Source organism: Homo sapiens, chromosome 17, assembly GCF_000001405.40.
Source record: "Homo sapiens chromosome 17, GRCh38.p14 Primary Assembly".
In the NCBI taxonomy this organism is placed as follows: Eukaryota; Metazoa; Chordata; class Mammalia; order Primates; family Hominidae; genus Homo; species Homo sapiens.
The window spans coordinates 36,849,309-36,869,976 of record NC_000017.11 but is presented as its reverse complement, the minus strand read 5'-3'; the positions used below and the strand labels follow the sequence as shown (position 1 = coordinate 36,869,976).

Below are 20,668 nucleotides of genomic sequence, written 5' to 3'. Positions count from 1 at the left end.
GTCTTAGGAGAAGGCTGTGTCCTGAGGTGGTAAGGGGACCTCTGGACCATCAAAGGGGACCCAGGTGATAGATCAGGACAGGCAGGTGCAGGGACTCAGGGGCAGACTGACCCCCGGAGATGGTTAACCTAGGACAAAGCAGGTCAAATATCTGGGGACGACTGCTTTGCTTCTCCCTTTCGACGGAGAGGAAGTAGTGGGTGTGAAGTACCCTCACACACATGCCCATCACCTGCCCTCTCCAGCCACCATGTGGTCCTGGGAGGCGGGGACTGTTGGCTCCATCTTACAGCAGAGAAAATGGCAATTCCAACAAGGCCCTACTTGGCGAGTCTTTGTTCCTTGATGGCCAAAAAGGTCCATTCCCCATCCCCTGGCCCCTCTCCTTTTCCAGTCCCCGAGGGAGAAAGGACAGGTAGGCTGGCAGCTTCCCTGCTGGATGGTCCTTTCCCGTCCATGGGACTTCTGTGCCGATGAAGTCATTCATCCAGGTGGGACACCATGCTGTGAGTGACTGACTGACTGGGAAAGAGCCAGCGAGGGCCCTGGCCAGCCTCTCCTCCCTGCTGAAGCTGGATGTTGGCCCTCACTCGCTGTGTGACCTTGTGCTAGCCATTTTCTCCCAAGTGCCACCATTGTCTCATCTGTGAAGTGGGTAGCACATTCACCTCTTCACCAGATTAGTTTGTGAATGCCCTTAGCCAGCACCTGTGTAAGCCCCAGCCCGCCATCCACTTAATGACTGAATGCTCTAATCACTGCCCCCACCAAGATCTTGGTTCCCCAGTGGAGCCCACCCTCCTCCCTCTGTGACCTCTGACCCTTTCTCCTCCTCCCTGCGATTCCTCCTCAGCAAGGGCTGTGAGTCCCTTCCCCCCATGAGGCCCAGGGGGCCCAGAGAAATTAGACTGAATCAAAGCAGAAAATGAGTTTTCATTCATCTTGGAATGATGCGAGAGGTTACGGGCAAGACAAATAGCAGCCTCCCCCTCTTCCTTTATCACTGTCACCGCAATTAATAGGCTGTGGCCTTCGTTATCCAGGCCTTTGCTAAGGAGAGAGCAGGTCCCCGGGCGATGCTAACGAGGGAGAGGAAGCAGGCTTCACTCCATCCAAGTCCTGCCATGTGGCCATATGCTCACCTGGCCCTTCAAACTCACAAAGGAGGGGTGCAGCCACCCGCAGGGCAGGCCGGGTGAGAGGGGAACAGTCTCCCAATACCTCTGAGAGTGCCCAGCCAGTCTGTGGTCTGATGATCAGCACAGCTGCCTCATCACAAGGACAAGCTATGTGTTATTTCCTCTTCATACGACGCCTAGGAGCCAGGCGTCTCTTCTCCAATTTTTCTGATGAGGAAACTGAGATTCAGAGCATACTTATTTGAAGCTACTTGTTTGAGGAGGTCACATAGATTGGGAAGAGGAGGAGCCAGGCTTTGAACACAGACCTGCTTGACCCCAAAGCCTGGGTTCCTCACTATCATATTCTATTGACCAACCATATGGAAGGAGCGAGGACTGGCAAACAGGTCCCTGAAAGTCTCTGAGTCCAGGGTTTTCGTATAAAAAGAGCTTTAGAGGTCAACTGAGTCAACATTAATTCCACACTCTGGCCCGAACTTGGGGCCTCAGATCCTGCAGGGACATTGGAGTTATTGCCAGTCCTTAGCCTGAACGATGTCTTTGTCAAAAGGACCAAAATGAAAGTCCTTTATTCAAGTGTGAGTTGATACTATTCAGATAATTTTAAAAATGAATTCCTTTAAAGGCTGACTGAACGCCAAAGGGGCTTGGTTCATTGAGTATTGCTCAATCAATGAATACTGTAGTACTTATCTATTACTGTGTAACAAATTATCCCAAAACTTAGTAGCTTAAAACAACAATAAATATTTACTATTTCTCACAGTTTCCATGGGTCTGGAATTCAGGAGTAGCTTGGCCAGCAGCTCTGGCTTAGGGTCTCCTGTGACGTTACAGTCATATGTTGGCGGAAACTGCAGTCATCTGAAGGCCTGACCAGGGCTGGAAGATCTGCTTCCAAGATGGCACACTTGTGTGGTTGGCATGTTGCCACCTGCTGCCGGTGGGAGGCCTCAGTTCCTTTTTGTGTGGAGCGCTCCATAGGATGGCTCATACCAGGGCACCCAGCTCTCTGAGAGCTGTGATCCAATAGAGCAAGGCAGAAGCCACCTGCCATTGATGACTTAGCCTCAGAAGCCATATACTGTCACCTCTGCCATACTTTACTGGTCACAAAGATCACCCTGATTCGATGTGGGAGGGAATTAACATGGGTGCGAACTCCAGCTGGTGAGCATCATCTTGGGGGCTAAAATCAAAAGAACATTTTGTAGAGTTACGAAGGGAGCCTCAAGGTTCAGAAAACAGGGGAAACAATCTAGTGTTAACCATCAGGACAATCTTTACCTTTTGGGGAAGTAGGGACTGGGAAGGGCCGTAAGGGGACTTCTTGGGAGTCAGTGATGTTTTATTTCTTGGTCAAGATGCTGATGAACTTTGTGAAAAATCACTGTGTGTGTTTATGATGCTTCAGTAAAAAATTCTAAAGAGGGGTCCTTATCCTTGAAAAGGTTTGGAGCCATCTGTGTAGGTGGTGGTGGTGGTGGTTGTTGTTGTTGTTGTTTTGGAGACAGAGTGTAGCTCTGTCGCCCAGACTGGAGTGCAATGGCATGATCTCGGCTCACTGCAACCTCCACCTCCTGGGTTCAAGTGACTTTCCTGCCTTAGCCTCTCAAGTAGCTGGAATTACAGGCACCTGCCATCATGCCTGGCTAATTTTTGTATTTTTTGTAGAGACGGGGTTTCACCATGTTGGCCAGGTTGGTCTTGAACTCCTGACCTCAGGTGATCTGCCCACCTCCCAAAGCGCTGGGATTACAGACATGAGCCACCTTGCCTGGCCAGTTCTAATCCGTAGGGGAGAAAACACTGGGACTCAGGGACGGAAGGTGACTTGCTCAAGGTCCCTTGGTGGGTCAGGTGTGGAGTTTTGGACTGGCATTTGGGACTCCTGGGTCCTGAGGAATGGCCTTTTACAGGCACTGTGGGGACAGGAGCCGATGCCATCAGCAGGCTGGGGCTGGGGCTCTGTTTCCTGAACTCTGCTGCCCTTCCTCTCCCCAGGTCCCCCCAGGGCTGCTCCAGAACTGAGACCGTGCCGGCTGTGCCAGGTCAGCCACTGTGGGTCCCGCTCACCCTGCCCCTCCCAGCTCACCCTCCCTGGGGCCGATCGGGGCACTCTCTGCCCATAGACAGACAATCTGAGTGCCAGAGAAAGACTGAGTCTTGGGAGAGGGCTGTGTCCTGAGGTGGTAAGGGGACAAGGATAGGAGGAAGTCTGCTGTGTTAGAACATGATTCACTCAGATGACAATGACTGTCTCCCTTGGCCAGACTCAGGCCTTTCAAGGCAGGGACCCGTCCTGATTCAGCTCTGTGTTTCTTGTGTCCATCAGTTCACCCAGCAAATATTTACTGAGCACCTATGATAGGCACTGGTGATGTGACAACGAACAGAAAAGACAAAAGCTCTGCCCTTAGGGAACCAACACTCTAGTAAAGGTAGACAAAATGAAACAGGTAACATATAGAATATGAGGTGCATAGGAGCGTGTGTGTGGAGTTGTGTCAGGGAAGACTTTATTAAGAAAATGACATTTGAGCAAAGACTTGAAGGAGACCGGGGGGAGCCTAAGGTTGTCAGCAGGAAGAGTATTCCAGGCAGAGGGAAATGCATGTTCAAAGACTTGGACAAGAGAGCATGCGTGGCATGTTAGGAATAGCAAAGGGGCCAGTGAGGCCAGGCAGGCTGAGCAAGGAGGAAGCTCAAGCTAGGGGGCCCATCTGGCCTTGGTTTGAACCCTGGTCCTGCTATTCCCTAACCAGTGACCTGAGGGCTCTCTGTTGCACAGGGAGGGTAATCCCACCTACCTCAAAAGTCCTTTTCAGGCTTTTTCTTGAGACTGGATCTCCCTCTGTCACTCAGGTTGGAGTGCAGTGGTGCAATCTCAGCTCACTGCAGCCTCCGCTTTCCAAGCTCCAGCCACCCTCCCACCTCGGCATCCTGAGTAGCTGGGACCACAGGCGTGCACCACCATGCCTGGCTACTTTTTGTATTTTTGGTAGAGATGGGATTTCACTATGTTGCCCAGGCTGGTGTTGAACCCCTGAGCTCAAGTGATCACTTGACTTGGCCTCCCAAAGTGCTGGGATTACAGGTGTGAGGCACCGTGCCTGGCCTTTTTTTTTTTTTTTTTTTTTTGAGACAGGGTCTTGCTCTGTTGTCCAGGCTACAGTGCAGTGGCACGATCTCAACTCACTGTAGTCTCAACCTCCCAGGCTCAAGCGATCCTCGCCTCTCAGCCTCCCGAGTAGCTGGGACTATGGGCTTATGCCACTATGCCCAGCTAATTTTTTTTTTTTGTATTTTTTTGTAGAGATGGAGTTTCATCATGTTGTGCAGGCTGGTCTGGGCTCAAGTGATCCACCTGCCTTGGCCTCCCAAAGAGCTGGGATTACAAGTGTGAGCCACTGCACCTGGCCCCTTTTCAGGTTTAAACTCAGCCATACCTTTAGTGACATGTCCACAAAGGTTGAAAGAGACAGATGGTCCTCGTCTGCCCCGCTTCACTGGGATATAAGCTTCACGATGGCCAGGGATTTTGTCTGTTTTGTTCATTGCTAACTTCCCAGACCCAGAATAGTGTCCTCAACAGGGGCCTTCACGCGCCTTACAATTAAACCAACAGTGACAATATACTGTGATGAAACGTACAACAAAGGGGAGATGCAGGGAGCTCTTGGCAAGGGAGCTGATTGGAGAATGTCAGGGAGGGCTTCCCGGAGGAAGCTGCGGCTTTGACCTGCTAATGAGTAGGGGTTAGCCAGACGGGGGTTCCAGGCAGAGGGAACAGCATGCGTGAAAGCCCAGAGGCTGGAGAGAGCAAATTACTTTGAATGTTTCAATACAGCTAGAATAGAGCACTGGGAGGGTCGAGTGGGCAGAGTGGTATGGGGTCATGGGACAGGAGGGGCTGGGGTGGGGAGACATGGCTAGAAATTAGGTAAGCAGAGTGCTGTATTCTAAGAGCAGTGAGAATATTCAGGTGACAATCATGTAGGTAACACAGTACCTGGCACATAAAGTGAGATGGAGGGAGGGAAGGAAGGAAGGAAAGGAGGGAGGAGGGGAGGGAGGAAGGAAAGGGGGGGGAGGGAGGAAGGAAAGGGGGGGGAGGGAGGAAGGGAGGAAGGAAGGAAGGGAGGGAGGGAGGGAGGAAGGAAGGAAGGGTAAATGGAAGGAAGGAAGATTCTAGCCAACCACAGTCTAGCCCCATGCTGTTTTCAGTAGCCCTGTGGCTGGAGCTCCTCTGTAACCCTGCAGCTCAGCAACACTCCTGGGGTATCCAGCCCTACGGCCCCTTTTCCAGGCCCAACAGGCCTCAAGGCCTCCTAGGACAGAGTCTGCCCTGCTCCCTCCCACTGTCTGTGCTCTGCACCATGCAGGGTGGGGTGGGGCAGACAGCCCCAGGCTCCCCACCATGAACGTGTGTTCTGGTTCAGTGGAAGGACCTTAAATGCACAGACAAGGACACAGCAGTAAAGGATGATGTGGCCGAACCCCCCGGTTCCACGGCGAGCAGACCCCAGGTGTGTGATCGGGAGCAGTTAAATTTCATCATTACCCTTTCTCCGATGGTGTTTTTTATAGTCTTTTTTACTACTGGCACTAAAGGTTCTGGACTCATCCTGGCGGACTGGAGGACATCACTCGTCGAGCTGACTGCTCTGTGATATAAAAAAATGACAAGTCCTGGCTTAATCTTTCTGATAACTGTGTTCCGCGCCTCCATCCATCTCCACCAAGGGGTTTGGGCGAAGCTGGAAGACAAGAGCATCCCAGCATTTAAGAATGAAAAATTAAGTGCCCTTTTTAAGCACAGCGTGGAGCTCCCTGGCTTGGTGCTGTTCTAGAGGTGGGGGGAGAGGGGCAGGGGAGGGGAGAGTAAGTCCAGCTGGGTCTCCTTCAGGTCCCGGGGTGGGGGGATGGACAGCGGGTCCCACACGGTGTCGTGGGAGTGCCAGGTGTGAGCACGTATACTTGGAAGTGTGCACATGTCTTGTGCCCCCCGGGTGGCCCCTTGTGCCTGAGCCTCTGTGGCTGTGGTTTTCTGTGTCTGTATCTGGTGGTGTATGTCTAATATGGGAGAGTGAAAATAGCCCTGCACTGCAAGTCAGGATGCCTGGGTTGGATTCCTAGCTTAACTTTATTTTAATTTTTTTTAAGAGAGCCTCCCATGTTGGCCTCGAACCTCTGGGCTCAAGGGATCCTTCTGCCTCAGCCTCCCGAGTGTCAGCTCTACTGGCTTTAGCTATGTAGCCTTTTGGCAAGTCGTTTTCCTGCTCCGGGCCTCAGTTTCCTCATCTGTAAAATCAGTGAGCTGGGATCGCCCGGAGCCAAGGTCTTCAAGCAGCACCCACTGGCTGGCTGATCCCAGGCCTGTCACACGTCTATTTTCATCTGTTTCCCTGTCTGTCCCAGGAGACCTTTGCTCCAGATGACCTCCAAGGCCACCCAGGATGTGACAACCCTAGAGCCAGGGAGCCAGCAAGACCCCTCCGGGCCCAGGTTCCCGGCCCAGCATCCCAGCTCTGGCCCAAAGCCAGCTTCCAGGTGTGGCTCAGACTTTTCTGTGCCTAGGAGAGCAGCCACCTGTTTCCTTTCCATGCCCCAGAAAGGGCCAGAAGCAGGGGCGGCCCTTGGGAACAGGGTGCAGAGGGCAAGAGCAGAGGCTTTGCTTCAAACCTGGCCTTTGATTCTAGTCTTTCTTACCAGTTGTATCGTGACCTTCTGAACCTCAGTTGTCTTGCCTGTAAAATGGAAATGAAGGGGATGGTTAGCACTCCCACTGGATCAAATAAGCTGCACCTCATACATAGTAAGTGCTCAATAAATGGTGGTTAGTATCAGATGTCCCTGAAGGAGCAACCCTCCCTCCCAAGCTTTTTATAATCACCAAAAGCTCTGAACAGAATTTGCCTGTCTGCCACCCCCTAATCCCATCTCCAATGCCTTCCTCTCCCTCCCTTGGAAATCCATCAGGGGGGACAAATGGCCGTCTGGTTTTTGATGAGAGAGGGAGGGGGAGCTAGTTGGGAGACCCTGGCTGCCAGAGGACTGGCTTGTCCCTGAAGGGGCCAAACATTTGTTGTAAATAATAGTGAGAGGAAGAAAAACAAAAACCAAAAAACCTGCAAAAGGCTCCCACCTGGGCCCCAGCAGATGCAGCCCCCTACACAATCCCTTTATCACCAGCGCCTGTGGTTTGGAGAACAAGATGCCAAGCCGATAGGGCCTCGGTTATCTGAGGCAGGCAGTGTTTATCTGGGCAGTTTCCGCAGGCCAGGGTCCCCATTGGTGTGTGTGTTATCTGGGCCAGAGGGGGAGCAGCGGGAGATTTGGCCCCACTCCCCCACTCGGCAGAGTCAGTGGGAAGCTTTAGGATGGGGAGGGAGGTGGGCAATGAGGACCTCTTGTGCAGCTGGGAAGATTTGTGGTGAAGAATGGCCAAGGTCCCCGCAGGCCTCAGGCCCAGGCTTCCTTACCCTGGGGCATTTGGGGCTGGTGTGAACTTGCCCGAGAGATTCGGTGTCATGCCCATGCCAATGGAGGTCAGTAATCTTATTTACCCTGTGTGCGGGGGGAGCCATCCCATTCTACAGACAACGAGTCCTGGACAGGTCGTGTCACTTGGCTAAAGGCACCCAGCCAGTAAATGGCAGAGCCAGGATTTGAACTCTGGTGTGCCTAACTCTAAAAACGCTGGCCTTCCAAAACAAATCCTATGACCTGAGCAGAGTGGACCCCAGTCCCTTTCAAAGGAGTGGCACATACATTCTCAGAGACTGTTTGTGTCCATTCACTCTACAATCCCACGCCAGACTTGGAGACTGGGAGTTTAATTAAGCTTTATCTTTTCCCCCATTTTACAGATGAGGAAACAGAGACCCGGAGAGATACAGTCCTTGGCCAGTCAGCCAAGTTGGAGCATAGCTTGGACTTTGAACCCAGTCTCCCAGCTCCCAGTCTGCCTGCAGCCCTGTCCCTCTCCACCCCCAAGCCCTGACCAGAATTCTCTTCTGTACATCCAGAAGGGCTTTCCCATTCCTCAGACTCTCTGAGGCAATTACAGTCCCTACCACTCATGTGGCCCTTAATCATTTACTGCCCTTGCAAACAGCCTGTGGTCAAAAGCAATAAAGTTCGGACTTGGACAGATCAGACCTCGTGTGGCTGTTGTTTGTGCACACGGCCCACCTCCTTTACTGACTGGAAGAGCTCAGAGGGCAAGAACCAGGTGGCTAGAGGTTTCCGTGTTCTCCCTGCCCTGCTGCCACACTGAGGGGGTTTGGCGAGCGAATGCACACGCTTGGACCTGGTGCTTGGCACATCAGCTGGGGAGGAGGCATAGGGTCAGGGACACGGGAGGAGCTGGCTCCTTACACTCTAGAGGGCCAAGGTTAAACCCAAGGCCTGGCCCAGCCCCATTGGCCAACCCTGGCATCCTACATGTTAGTGACTGGCACCACAGCCACTCCTCCTCTCTCACTCCACCTTCTCCTCTCCTCTCTCACTCCACCAACCAGTCATTTCCAGCTCCCATCAGTTCTGCATCTGAAATACTTCTTTTTGGTCAGGCCACCAGCTGCACACCCTGGACTACTCCACCAGCCTCCTGATTGGCCTCCCTGCCTCCTGATTGGCCTCCTTGCCTCTGGTCTACTCTCCAGTTGCAATAAGAGTGATCTGAAAATGCAAACTTCAGCTTGTTCCTCCACTACTTAAATGTTCCTGGGTCGGCCAGGCACGGTGGTGTGAGCCTGTAATCCCAGAGTTTTGGGAGGCTGAGGCGGGTGGATCATTTGAGGCCAGAAGCTCGAGACCAGCCTGGGCAACATGGTGAAACCCCATCTCTACTTAAAATACAAAAAAATTAGCTGGGTGTGGTGGTGCATGCATGTAATCCCAGCTACCCCGGAGGCTGAGGCACAAGACTCACTTGAACCTGGGAAGTGGGGGTTGCAGTGAGCTGAGATTGTACCACTACACTCCAGCCTGGGCGACAGAGCAAGACTCTGTCTCAAAAAAATAATAATAAAATAAATAAATGCTCCTGGGTCATAACTCTCCTATGACCTGGTCCTAGCCCACCTCTCCAGCCTTTCTGCTGGTGCTCTTGGCCACTCTGAACTCTGGGTTCTTCAAAATGACCCCCACACCTTGCCCTGGGTCATGGCACGTGCTGTTCTGTCAGCGGGAGGAACAGTCCTCCCTGCCCGGGCTCCCCTCACTGGCCGGCTCCTCCTCCTCTTCCTGGTCTCGCTTGGCATCACCTCCTCCAGGAAGCCTCCCCTATCCCCTACTGAGGTAGGTGCCCACTTGTCCAAGCCAGCTTTTGCACGAACCTATTATGGCCCCGAAAACACGGATGGGGAAGTGCCTGTCCTCTGTCTCTTCCATTAAACTCCAGGTTTCATGCAGGCAAGGGCTGTGCTGCTGTTCACTGAGGCTGCTTCTCAGTTAGTGTTTGGGAAGGAGCACGTGCTTGACATCGCCTCTCTTTCCTGATTCCTTTAACCCCTCAAAGGAACTCAAACAGAGAGTCCCTGGTGCTGGGGAACAGAGCGCATGGAGCCCACGCCTCTGCCCCTGGGTTTCCTGGGTGGTTCTGAACGATGATCTTCCCCTCCCAGTCCTGGGGCCTGTGGCTACCCTGTCCACTCCTACCACCCTCCTGTGACCACAGTGCAGCCCGCTCCCCAGAGATGGAGTGGGCAACAAGGCTCCGGCTTGGGCCTTCCTCTACGGAAACTCTGAAGTCACTCCACCTCCTGGTGGAGTCAGGGTGAGGAGTACCAGAGGCCTTCTGGGGGAAACTTGGGGCCCTGGGGCCGGCGGAGCATTCCCCAGGCCTCCCCTTCTTCCCACCCCCCTCCTGGGAGCCTCACCAGCCACTTCACTGCCTTCCCTGGCCTCCCTCTCCCCTGACTGCTGGGCCCTGGCAGAGGGCGTGGGACCGTGCATCCTGGTATGTGTATCCAGCTGCTGCTCGCCACAGCTGGCTGCATCGGCCTCACCGAGCCAGGGAGGGCACGCTCTGCCCCCCACCATCCCACCTCCCTCATTCCTCCACCCCCAACCCCACTCCCCGACCCCGACCCCCCTGCTCCATTGAATGCCCAAGATTGGAAGAGGGTCAACAGAATGTGGGGCCATTCATGGGTGGGGGCAGGATGTAGGTGTTCAGTGCCAGCCCCCGACTTACATGGTCCCTTCCTTGTTGGACACCCTGAGCCCCAGCTCTCCTGGCTGCTCCCCTCAGGACGGTGAGAGGCAGCAGCGTTCTCCCTTCTGGGGCCTCGGTTTTCTCTTCCGTTCAATGGAAGATAGGCTGCTTTGGGAAGGCCCTCACCTTGCAGGGAAGAGCCTAGAAAGTACAGCGAGGATATATGCACTTCACTGAGCAGCTCAGGGCATTGTGGGAGAGGCTGCAGGTGGGGGAGGCGGGATTAAAGCCCTGCTTGGGGGAGATTATGCCTGAATTGGGAAGGGGAGCAGTGAGAGGCAGGGCGGGCTTCGATTTGTGGGTAGAGTACAGAGGAGGGAGGCTCAGAGCACCTGGCCCAGGGCTGCAGGGATAGCATGGGATTGCCTGTGGCTGCAGACGGTACCATTCTAGATGAAGCGGCAGGGCGGGCCTCCGAGGGTCGGCTGGGGGAGCTTCCCAGCAACCTACCCACCCTAGCAGGCCGGGACCCCCGCACAGGACACCCATCCTGCCAACAAGCCAAGAAGCATTTGCGGAATGCTACCATGTGCCAGGGAAGAGACAAGTCCCCACACTTGGCCGTCAGAGAGTCCAGCACAGCAACAGGAACTGCCGCTGGGCAGCAGTCATGAAGTGGCCCAGGGAGAGGGCACGCCTGCGGTGCCAGGCCCCGTTTCCACGCCCGTTTCCTGCACTCATGGCATTAGCTCCTTTCTAACTCTCATGACACCTCTCTGAGGTATGTGCTATTGTCTTCATTCCCATTTTATGGATAATGAAAGTGAGACACGGAGAGGTGAAGTTATTTGCCCAAGGGCACACAGTTGAATCCCCAGGAGAAAAGCCTGAATCCAAACTTGGCCAGCTGGCTTCAGGGTGTTCTTCTCAGGCCTATGCCACTGACCTCCTCCCCAGGAGACAGGGAAGCTGTCTCCACATTTTGCGGATGAGGGAAGCAAAGCTCGGAGTGGAAGTGGTATAAGTGCCTCCTGTTACCTGTGGCACGCTCTAGCATTCATGACCTAGAGGTCAGGGTGCAAGGTTTCTTTAGGAGTGGTGAGTTTCCTTTGGACAAAGGTGCCTGAGCCAGCTGAGTCAAGGTTGCCGGAAACATGCCGCACATTTTTGTGCGTGAGTGTGTGTAAATGTATGAATGCTCGTGTGCACTGTATCTTATAGGCCTCAGCCAGCTCCCAAAAGCCTCATGGGGATGCCTCCGCCCTGCCCCAGGCATGCTATTCTCGGGACAGACACAAGCCCATCTGTCCCAAGACCCCTGTGCCCAGCTCCTGCAGCCTGGCCTAACGCTCCCCACCCACCCCCACGCCCCAGCCTCTGCTAGTGCCATCTGGCGGGTGGCAAGATGCCCACCCCCGGGGAGTGGGTGCCAGGGGCCAAGAGGGGAGCAGCTGGGAGGTTGAGCTGACCCCACAAGCAGCAGCACAGCCCCAGGCTCTGTCTGGGGAGCTGTAGCAGGGTCACTGCACCTCCTAACCCACGAGAGACACACTGCGAGGGTCTTTCGCTGGCCTCAAGACACAAGGAACCAGCTCGAACTGTTTACCATTGGGAATTCCCATCTCTGGGGACTCACCCCTCCCCCATAACTCACTCCAGAGAAGGAACGCGGGGTGCAAAGTCTTCCCGAGCACCCCCACCCAGAGCACTTAGCTCCCGCCGCTGCCACTGTCTGTTTCGCAACAACGGTTCATGCTTTTGCAGCTCTTATTTCGTGGCAGGCTCTGTTCTCAGTCCCTTTCTGTTGATTGACACCTTTAATCTTCACGCAACTCTGTGAGATAGATGTAATCACTACCCCCATTTCACAGATGGGAAAACGGAGCTACGAAGTGCTTAAGTAACATGCCCAAGGCACACAGCTGCTAAGTGGCCGAGCTGGGATTAGAACCCAAGCAGTCCAAGTCCTTCACATTGATTTTGCGCCTCCCATGGACCAAGCACTGTTCTGAGTGTTTTACATGAAGTAGCTCATTTAATCCTCACAACAGTGTTGCTATTGTTTCCATTTTACAGGTGAGGAAACTGGGGCACAGAGAGGTTGCATGACTTGCCTAAGGTGACACCAGTAAGAGGAGGAAATAAGTAGTGGGATTTGAACCCAGGCAGTCTGGCTGTTCACAGGATCCCAAGGTTCATGGGTGAAAGGTTCACTCAGTAAAATGCTGTAAGAATAGATGGAGATGGGCTCATTCGGCCTCCGCTCTTGTCTCTCCTCTCTGCATTATCCCATTCTCGGTAGCCACAGCCAGGGAGACAAGGCGGAGGGAGGAGAGAGCATCTGTGAGCTGGGCAGGCGGGCAGGCAGGCAGGCGCGGGCAGAGGCTGCACATGCTCACAACGTCTCTGCTGTGGCCAATTAAACAAATTGCAGCAAAACAGCATTTTATTAGTATTTGCCCATAGCAGTCTGGAGCTGCAATAAATTTCCTCCAGGCTGCGGCACTGGAGAGGCAGGCGGAGGGGTGTGTGTGAATGGGGGAAGAGATCGGTGCCATTGGAGGGGCATGGGGAGCAGGGTGTGGGAGGGAGACTTGGCATGTTAAGCAGTGGATGGTGGAAGAGAAACATCAGGAACGGCCCTGGGGGCTGTTGGGTATCAGAGTGGCTGTCTTCCCAAACAACCGCTCCGCTTCATCATAAGCACAGTGAGTTATGAGGCGGTGTTGTGCGCTGCACACGAGCAGCGGGGACCATGAAGCTGCCTGTCCTGGTTAGGCGGGGGGTGGGCAGGTGGGTGTGGGCAGGGAAGCCCAGTGCCTGGCTGAGGGTCCCCCCAAAACTCCATGGCAGCTGCCCTGGGTTCAGCCCTCATGATGGGATACCTGGGTCGCTGAAGTGGCCGCCTAATTGGTCTCTCCTCCTCCAATCTTGATTCATTCATTCACTCAAGAGGTATTTATTAAATGCCTGCTGTTTGCCAGGTCCTGGAGTAAACTGTCTGTAAACTATATCATTCTTCTATTTAAAAAACGTTTCCCTGCTGCTTTCAGTATCAACCCCAAGCTTCTGAGCCCGGTGTTCAAGGCCCTTCCTACGCAGGCTTCCTCCTCCCTTTCTAGCTTGTTCTGTGGCCACTCCCCTCCACCTCTCTGATAATAATAATAATGATAGCAGCTAACATTGATCAAATGCTCACTATGTGCCAGGCACTGCTCTACGTGCTTTATCATGTACAGTCGTGTGTTGATTAACGATGGGGATATGTTCTGAGAAATGCATTGTTAGGCGATTTCATCACTCTGTGAGCATCAGAGAGTGTGTTTACACAAACCTACCTGGTAGAGCCTATGACACACCTTGGCCGTATGGCATAGCCTATGCTCCTAGGCTACAAATCAGTACAGCACATTACTGTACTGAATACTGTAGGCAGTTGTAATACAATAGTAAGTATTTGCATATCTAAAGATAGCTACACAGGCTGGGCACAGTGGCTCATGCCTGTAATCCCAGCACTTTGGGAGGCTGAGGTGGGTGGATCATGAAGTCAGGAGATCGAGACCATCCTGGCCAACATGGTGAAACCCTGTCTCTACTAAAAATACAAAAATTAGCCAGGCATGGTGGTACATGCCTGTAGTCCCAGCTACTCGGGAGGCTGAAGCAGGAGAATCGCTTGAATTTGGGAGGTGGATGTTGGAGTGAGTGGAGATTGTACCACTGCACTCCAGCCTGGGTGACAGAGTGAGACTTCATCTCAAAAATAAAATAAATAAATAAATAAATAAATATTTAAAAAAAGAAAAAGAAAGAAAGAGGGAGAGAAAGGGAGAAAGAGAGAAAGAAAGGGAGGAACTGGAATGCTGGATGCAAACCAGGCATTCTGACTCCGCTCCCGCACAGCAGCCCACTGTTTCTTACACCCAGCCTTCCTCACCCCTGTGTGCTGTGCTCATGCTTTGCTTCTGCTGAAAACGCCCTCCAACCACTTCTCTGTCTGGCAAACTCCTACTCAACCATCAAGACCCCTCTCAATACCCCCTCTTCTCTCTGGTTCCAGGTAAAGAGAGCTGTTTGCATCTCTGTGCCTGCATAGCACCTGGAGATGTCACCCCTATGGCACTAATTGCACCCCCTTGAGGAGTTCTTGTGCCCTGCTGAGCTCCCTCAGAGCAGAACCTTCTTTGCATCCTTGGTGCCTCGCCCTGGCATTGGACCAGGATGGGCTGCCTGGCGGAGGTTAGGGGCAGTAGGCATTGAGGCTTAGCTGTAGAGTGAACCTTCACCTCCTCTCCATTCTGGAAGTCCTTGGGCCTAGGCCCTCCCTCCCTTCAGACCTCAAACTAAGGATCCTGATGGGAGATGAGGCTGGAGGAAGATAGGAAAAGGCAGGACTCTGGAGGGTGGCCTGGGGAGGAAGTGGCATTAACCCCTCAACCCCCCAGGGCCTTCCCAAGGGCATGGCGGGGTCACCTGATCCTGGGACCTATCTTCTGGCTTTGGGCCCAGCCAGTCAGGCTGTTCCAGTTGAGAGCTCTCAGCCACAAACGTTTTTTGGTTTTGTTTTGTTTTAACTTAAACTATATTCCCTCCTCTCCCTACCCACCTCCAGGCCCGCCATGGGTAACTTAAATCAAACCAGTCCCCACCAATTGCTTAGGGGTATGGGGGGACTAGTCTGATCTAAGTTTGATCTAAGATGATGGCATTTACAGGTGCTGTGCAGGCACAGAGAGAGAAACAGCTTCCTTTACCTGGAGTAGGATGCTGAGGGATCCCCTGGCCAGCCCTCCTCCCATTGCTAGGGAGGTTTCCATATGTAGGAGACCAGCAAAGGGCATGGGAGGCAGGACACCCCCTACACTCACTGTGGACTGCCAGGGCATCTAGGACTCAGGCCACATTGTTCTCCCAACCTCCTGGAAACAGGCAGCCACTCAGCTCCCTCCTCCTCTTCTCACCTCCCTCCCTTCCCCTCCCCGCCTCCCCCAACTCCAGTCCTTTTCCTCCAGGAAAACATCCTTCTTTTCCCCCAGTTTTAGTGAGATGCGTTGGCAATTAAAAATTGCATATATTTGGCTGGGCACAATGGCTTACACCTGTAATCCCAGCACTTTGGGAGGCTGAGGAAGGCAGATCACTTGAGGTCAGGAGTTTGAGACCAGCCTGGCCATCATGGTGAAACCCGTTTCTACTAAAAATACAAAAATTAGCCAGGTGCGGTGGCGCGTACCTATAGTCCCAGCTACTTGGGAGGTTGAGGCAGGAGATTTGCCTGAACCCGGGAGGCGGAGGTTGCGGTAAGCCAAGATCGCACCACTGCACTCCAGCCTGGACAACAGAGTGAGACTGTCTCAAAAAAAAAAAAAAAAAAAAAGCATATATTTGAGGTGTCTAATTTGATGATTTGATAGATGTATACATTGTGAAATATTCACCATAATCAAGCTAACACATCCATCACCTCACAGGTACCATTTTCTTCTCTTTCTTTTATTTTGGTGGTAAGAACACATAAGACCTATCCTCTTAGCAAATTTCAAGTATACAATACAATATTTTTCACTGGAGTCACATTGCTGTACCTTAGATCTTCAGAACTTATTCATCTGATGTAACTGAAACCTTATACCCCAAGACCGACATCTCCCATTTCCCCCTTCCTCTAGTCTCTGGTAACCACAATTCCACCTACCTCCGTTTCCATGAGTTTGACTATTGCAGATTTCACATGTAAGAGAGGTCGTGCAGTATTTGTCTTTCTGTGTCTGGCATAACCTCCTCCAGGTTTACTCATGTTGCTGCAAAGGGAGGATTTTCTTCTTTTCAAAGGCCAATTAATATTATCTATATCTGTATCTATATCTCACATTTCTTTATCCATTCATCCATCGACAGACAAAATGTTCTTACTTTTTCTTTGGGTGCCTTCCTTGCTCATGTCTGAGCCCAGAGGCTGACACACAGAAGGAATTCAGTGAGTATTAGCTGACTGCATGAATGAATGAAAAAAATTCCATTCAAAGGAGACATTGCTTTCCACCCCATAGCAGAGAAGCAGAGCCTTAGAGTTCCCATCTTCATCTTGTCATTAAAAGGATCATTATTTTGCTGATATCTAGCCATTCTGCCCCAAATCTTAATTTCTGAACCCCTAATGTTATGTAAATCTTCCTGGCCTCACAAGAACCGGGCAACCAACTACCTCCTCTTGCTCTCAGCAAAACTGTACTAACATCCCAGGAAATACACCCTCACCTGGTCAACCAAGCAACATTTATTGAGCACCCACTGTATACAGGGCTTGTTGCTACGAGGGCCACAGACAAGGAGGTCCTATCACTGTCACTGCCCTGACTGCCTACGAGCCTGGAGGGGCTGAGTCACATGGGCTCCAGTAGGGGCAAGTCCACAGGGTTTCCTAAAGAAGGGCACAGACACAGAGGAAAGGAACACCAAGAGCAAGTCTCTCTCTTTCTTCCTTCCTTCCTTCCTTCCTTTTTTCTTTCTTTCTTTCTTTCTTTCTTTCTTTCTTTCTTTCTTTCTTTCTTTCTTTCTTTCTTTCTTTCTTTCTCTTTCTTTCTTTCTTTCCCTTTCTTCCTTTCTTTCTTTTTCTTTCTTTCTTCTTTCTTTCTTTCTTTCTTTCTTTCTTCCTTCTCTTTTGTCTCTCTCTCTCTCTTTCATTTTATTTTTATTTTACTTCAAGTTCTGGGATACATGTACAGGACATGCAGGTTTGTTATGTAGGTATACATGTGCCATGGTGGTTTGCTGCACCTATTGACCCATCCTCTAAGTTCTCTCCCCTCATCCCCCACCCCCTAACATACCCTGATGTGTGATGTTCCCCTCCCTGTGTCCATGTGTTCTGATTGTTCAACTCCCACTTATGAGTGAGAACACGTGGTGTTTGGTTTTCTGTTCCTGTGTTAGTTTGCTGAGGATGATGGATTCCAGCTTCATCCATGTCCCTGCAAAGGACATGATAATCTCATTCCTTTTTATGGCTGCATAGTATTCCATGGTGTATAGGTACCATATTTTCTTTATCCAGTCTGTCATTGATAGGGATTTGGGTTGGTTCCATGCCTTTGCTATTGTAAATAGTGCTGCAGTAAACACAGGTGTGCATGTGTCTTTATAATAGAAGGATTTATATTCCTTTGAGTATGTACCCAGGAATGGAATTGTTGAGTCAAATGGTATTTCTGGTTCTAGATCCTTGAGGAATCCACAAACTGTCTTCCACAATGGTTGAACTAATTTACAATCCCACCAACAGTGTAAAAGCATTCCTATTTCTCCACAGCCTCACCAGCATCTATTGTTTCTTGACTTTTTAATGATTGCCATTCTAACTGGTGAGAGATGGTATCTCATTATGGTTTTGATTTGCATTTCTCTAATGATCAGTGATGTTGAGCTTTTTTTCATATGTTTGTTGGCTGCGTAAATGTCTTTTTTTGAGAAGTGTCTGTTCATATCCTTTGCCCACTTTTTGATGGGATTTTTTTCTTGTAAATTTGTTTAAGTTCCTCGTAAATTCTGGATATTAGACCACATTTCTTTCTTCCTTTTCTTTTTCCTATATATTCCTGTATTTAAGTGTCTTCTAAGGAGCATATTCTGCTCTTATAAGTTTTCAAACAATATTGGATTGTTTTTACAGAGAAGGCATGGCACCCATACATGGGAGAAGGTGGGGTAGAAGCGTTCTCCTTCTCAGTCATCTTGGGAGGTGTGGGACCATTGATTCTCAGACAGCAAGGCAGGGAGGCCAGGTTCAAGGCCTTGGATTATTTGGGTGGGAGCAGAGGTGATAGACCAGGGCCATAGGGCCCAGAGAGCATGGCTAGGAGGTCACATCCCAGCCTGGCTCAGCCACCCAGGGTGTGGGGACCCAGCCGGGGCTGGTTGAAGCAAATGGGAATGAAAGCCCCATTCTCCAATAAATCAAGTCTAGGAGTCCAGCATTGCAGCTTCCACCATTGACAAATCAGGGGGTGGGGATGGGGCAGGGTGTCAACAGAGTCCTTGTCCACTCTGGTTCTATCTCTGCACCATGGCTAGGATGGCATTAGAACATAGTGAGACGACTGTGACTGGCTGTGAGTAGCGGGAAAAATGTAAATATATATCAGGTGTGGCCCGTTATGTTTACAAAGCAATTTCACATTCCTAAGACAACTTGTCACCACAGCCCAATGAGATGTTGTTAGACTCATTTTATAGATGAGAATCCCGAAGTTCAGAGAGGTCATTTGCCAGCGATCACGTGACTGGTGATGAGCTGAGTCTTAACCTAAGTCTTCTGATTACAAAGAGTGTCTTTTCCTATGGAGTTTTTGGGGGCAAGGAGGACAAAGAAACAGGTCAGCTCAGCTTCTAGGCCCCCAGACTGCTGCTGCGGGGGAGAGCAAGGAAAGAACAGGGTGTCATGAGTTCAGTGGTCCTACTGCAGAACACACTGCGTCCAGGCTGTCTTCCGGGACACACTGACTTTCAGTCTTGCACAGGAATGACATTCGGGGCCTACGAGATGCTCTCTTGGGCTTCCTGTGGGCCTTAAACTGTACAGGCTTGAGATGGGCCAAAGCTGGTAAGACTCTCCATGTTGAGGACATTTAAACTCAGAGAGACAAAGCAATTGGCCCAAGGTCACACAGCAAGTCAAGGTCTGGGCTGAGATTAGGAATCTGAGTATGTGACTCAGAGGCCCTTCCTTTCTGGGTCTTCTCTGAGTCACCATCCGTCTTCCTGCCTTCTTTCCCATCTCTCCCCGCAGGGGCTGGGGCTGGCAGTTTTGTTGCATGTTTTTTTTTTGTTTTTTCTTTAGAGATGGAGTCTCACTCTAGCCTGGAATGGAGTGCAGTGGTGCAATCTTAGCTTACTGCAGCCTTGACCTCCTGGGCTCAAGTGATCCTCCTGCTTTAGCCTCCTGAGTAGCAGGGACTACAGGCATGCACCACCACGTTGGCTAATTTTTTATGTTTCTTATAGAGACGGGGTCTCATTATATTGCCCAGGCTGGTCTCAAACTCCTGGCTTCAAGCAATCCTCCCGCCTGGGCCTCCCAGAGTGCTGGGATTACAGATGTGAGCCACGGTGCAAGGCCGGAAGCTGGCAGTTTCTGAGCATCAGACTCTGCTATTTTCCTTCCTCTCTAGATAACTGGGCCTTTGTAGAGCATTCCCAACCCTTTTCCAGAGAGAACCTCCAAGAGTCTAGCCTAGGCCCTAAGTGGCAAGACTGGCTAGAAGTTTGGGCCAGAGGTGGCAGGTTCCTCTAAAGACCTGGCTGGGTAAGTCCTCCCTCAGGGGCCCCTAATCTCACCTCCCTCCTTGTTGGAATAACCAGTGGTATCTGGACCCGTTACTGGATACCTCCCCCTGCTGGGGTGTGCATGCCCCCACAGGCACTGGGTGGGGGTGAATGACAGACAGTAGCAGGCCCCAGTGGCACACTGAAGATAACTGCTCTTGACAGATGAAGATGCAGCCCAGGCAAAAGCTACATCCTATTTGGCTTTTAATTTGGAGGCCCCGAGAGTGAATTCGGAAGCTCCCACTCTTGTCCTCACGTGCAAAGTGGATCTGACTTTCAGGAAATGACCTGAAGTGAAACCACATTACTCATCAGCACGTCTCTCAAATTCACAGCCTTCACGCTCCCGCCCCCATCCCTGGAGGGATCAGGATTTCCGCTCACTTGTTCCTGTCCCTTCACACACATACCTTTATCTTATCGAGGGGCAGCTGGTGTGGCCCAGGTCCCTGGTAACCTCAGGAGTGAGTGGGGTGGAGGGGACGGGGGAGAGCAGATCTGGGCTGCAAGCTTGGAATTGGGAACTTCACCTAATCCAGGAATCTGCAAATGATGGCCCATTGGCCTACTCCAGGTGGCCTGCCCCTGTTTGTATATGGCCACGAATGAAGGATGACTTTTTTAAAGGTTGAAAAAAATCAACAGGAGAAATGTTGTGACATGTGACACTTATATGAAATTCAGATTTCAGCATCCATAAATAAAGCATTTATGGAGCACAGCCACGCCTACTCATTTATGTTACGTCTTTGGCTGTTTTTGAACAACCACAGCAGAGTTGAGTAGTTGAGACAAAGAGTTTATGGCCCATCAATCCTAAAATATTTACTACCCTGGCTCTCTGTTTTTTTTGTTGTTTTTTTTTTTTAATGGAGTCTCACTCTGTCGCCCAGGCTGGAGTGCAGTGGCACAATCTTGACTCACTGCAACCTCCACCTGCCAGGTTCAAGCGATTCTCCTATCTCAGTCCCCCGAGTAGCTGGGATTACAGGTGCATACCACCACACCTGGCTAGTTTTGGTATTTTCAGCAG

The 20,668-nt window shown here is 51.4% G+C and overlaps 1 long non-coding RNA gene across 1 annotated transcript in view, besides 3 other annotated features; it reads left to right on the top strand.

The window, feature by feature from the left end:
* LHX1-DT (LHX1 divergent transcript) overlaps positions 1 to 8,303 on the top strand; it is a 74,988-nt gene extending 66,685 nt beyond the window's left edge. The window contains exons 2-3 of the long non-coding RNA NR_135671.1: positions 6,858 to 6,960; positions 8,015 to 8,303. This is a non-coding gene — a long non-coding RNA (LHX1 divergent transcript). The remainder of the gene's footprint in view (positions 1 to 6,857; positions 6,961 to 8,014) is intronic.
* Positions 7,040 to 8,012: an enhancer, noted in NCBI's record as "H3K4me1 hESC enhancer chr17:35219226-35220198 (GRCh37/hg19 assembly coordinates)". NCBI's record gives its function as "activates a minimal SCP1, AML or CMV promoter by ChIP-STARR-seq in primed H9 embryonic stem cells {active_cell/tissue: H9 hESC(primed)}" and the evidence as "EXISTENCE:reporter gene assay evidence [ECO:0000049][PMID:30033119]".
* Positions 10,870 to 11,401: an enhancer, noted in NCBI's record as "H3K4me1 hESC enhancer chr17:35215835-35216366 (GRCh37/hg19 assembly coordinates)". NCBI's record gives its function as "activates a minimal SCP1, AML or CMV promoter by ChIP-STARR-seq in naive H9 embryonic stem cells {active_cell/tissue: H9 hESC(naive)}" and the evidence as "EXISTENCE:reporter gene assay evidence [ECO:0000049][PMID:30033119]".
* Positions 18,981 to 20,180: an enhancer, noted in NCBI's record as "P300/CBP strongly-dependent group 1 enhancer chr17:35207061-35208260 (GRCh37/hg19 assembly coordinates)". NCBI's record gives its function as "activates an origin of replication core promoter dependent on BRD2, BRD4, P300/CBP, MED14 and CDK7 cofactors, with strong dependence on P300/CBP, by STARR-seq in HCT116 cells {active_cell/tissue: HCT116}" and the evidence as "EXISTENCE:reporter gene assay evidence [ECO:0000049][PMID:35650434]".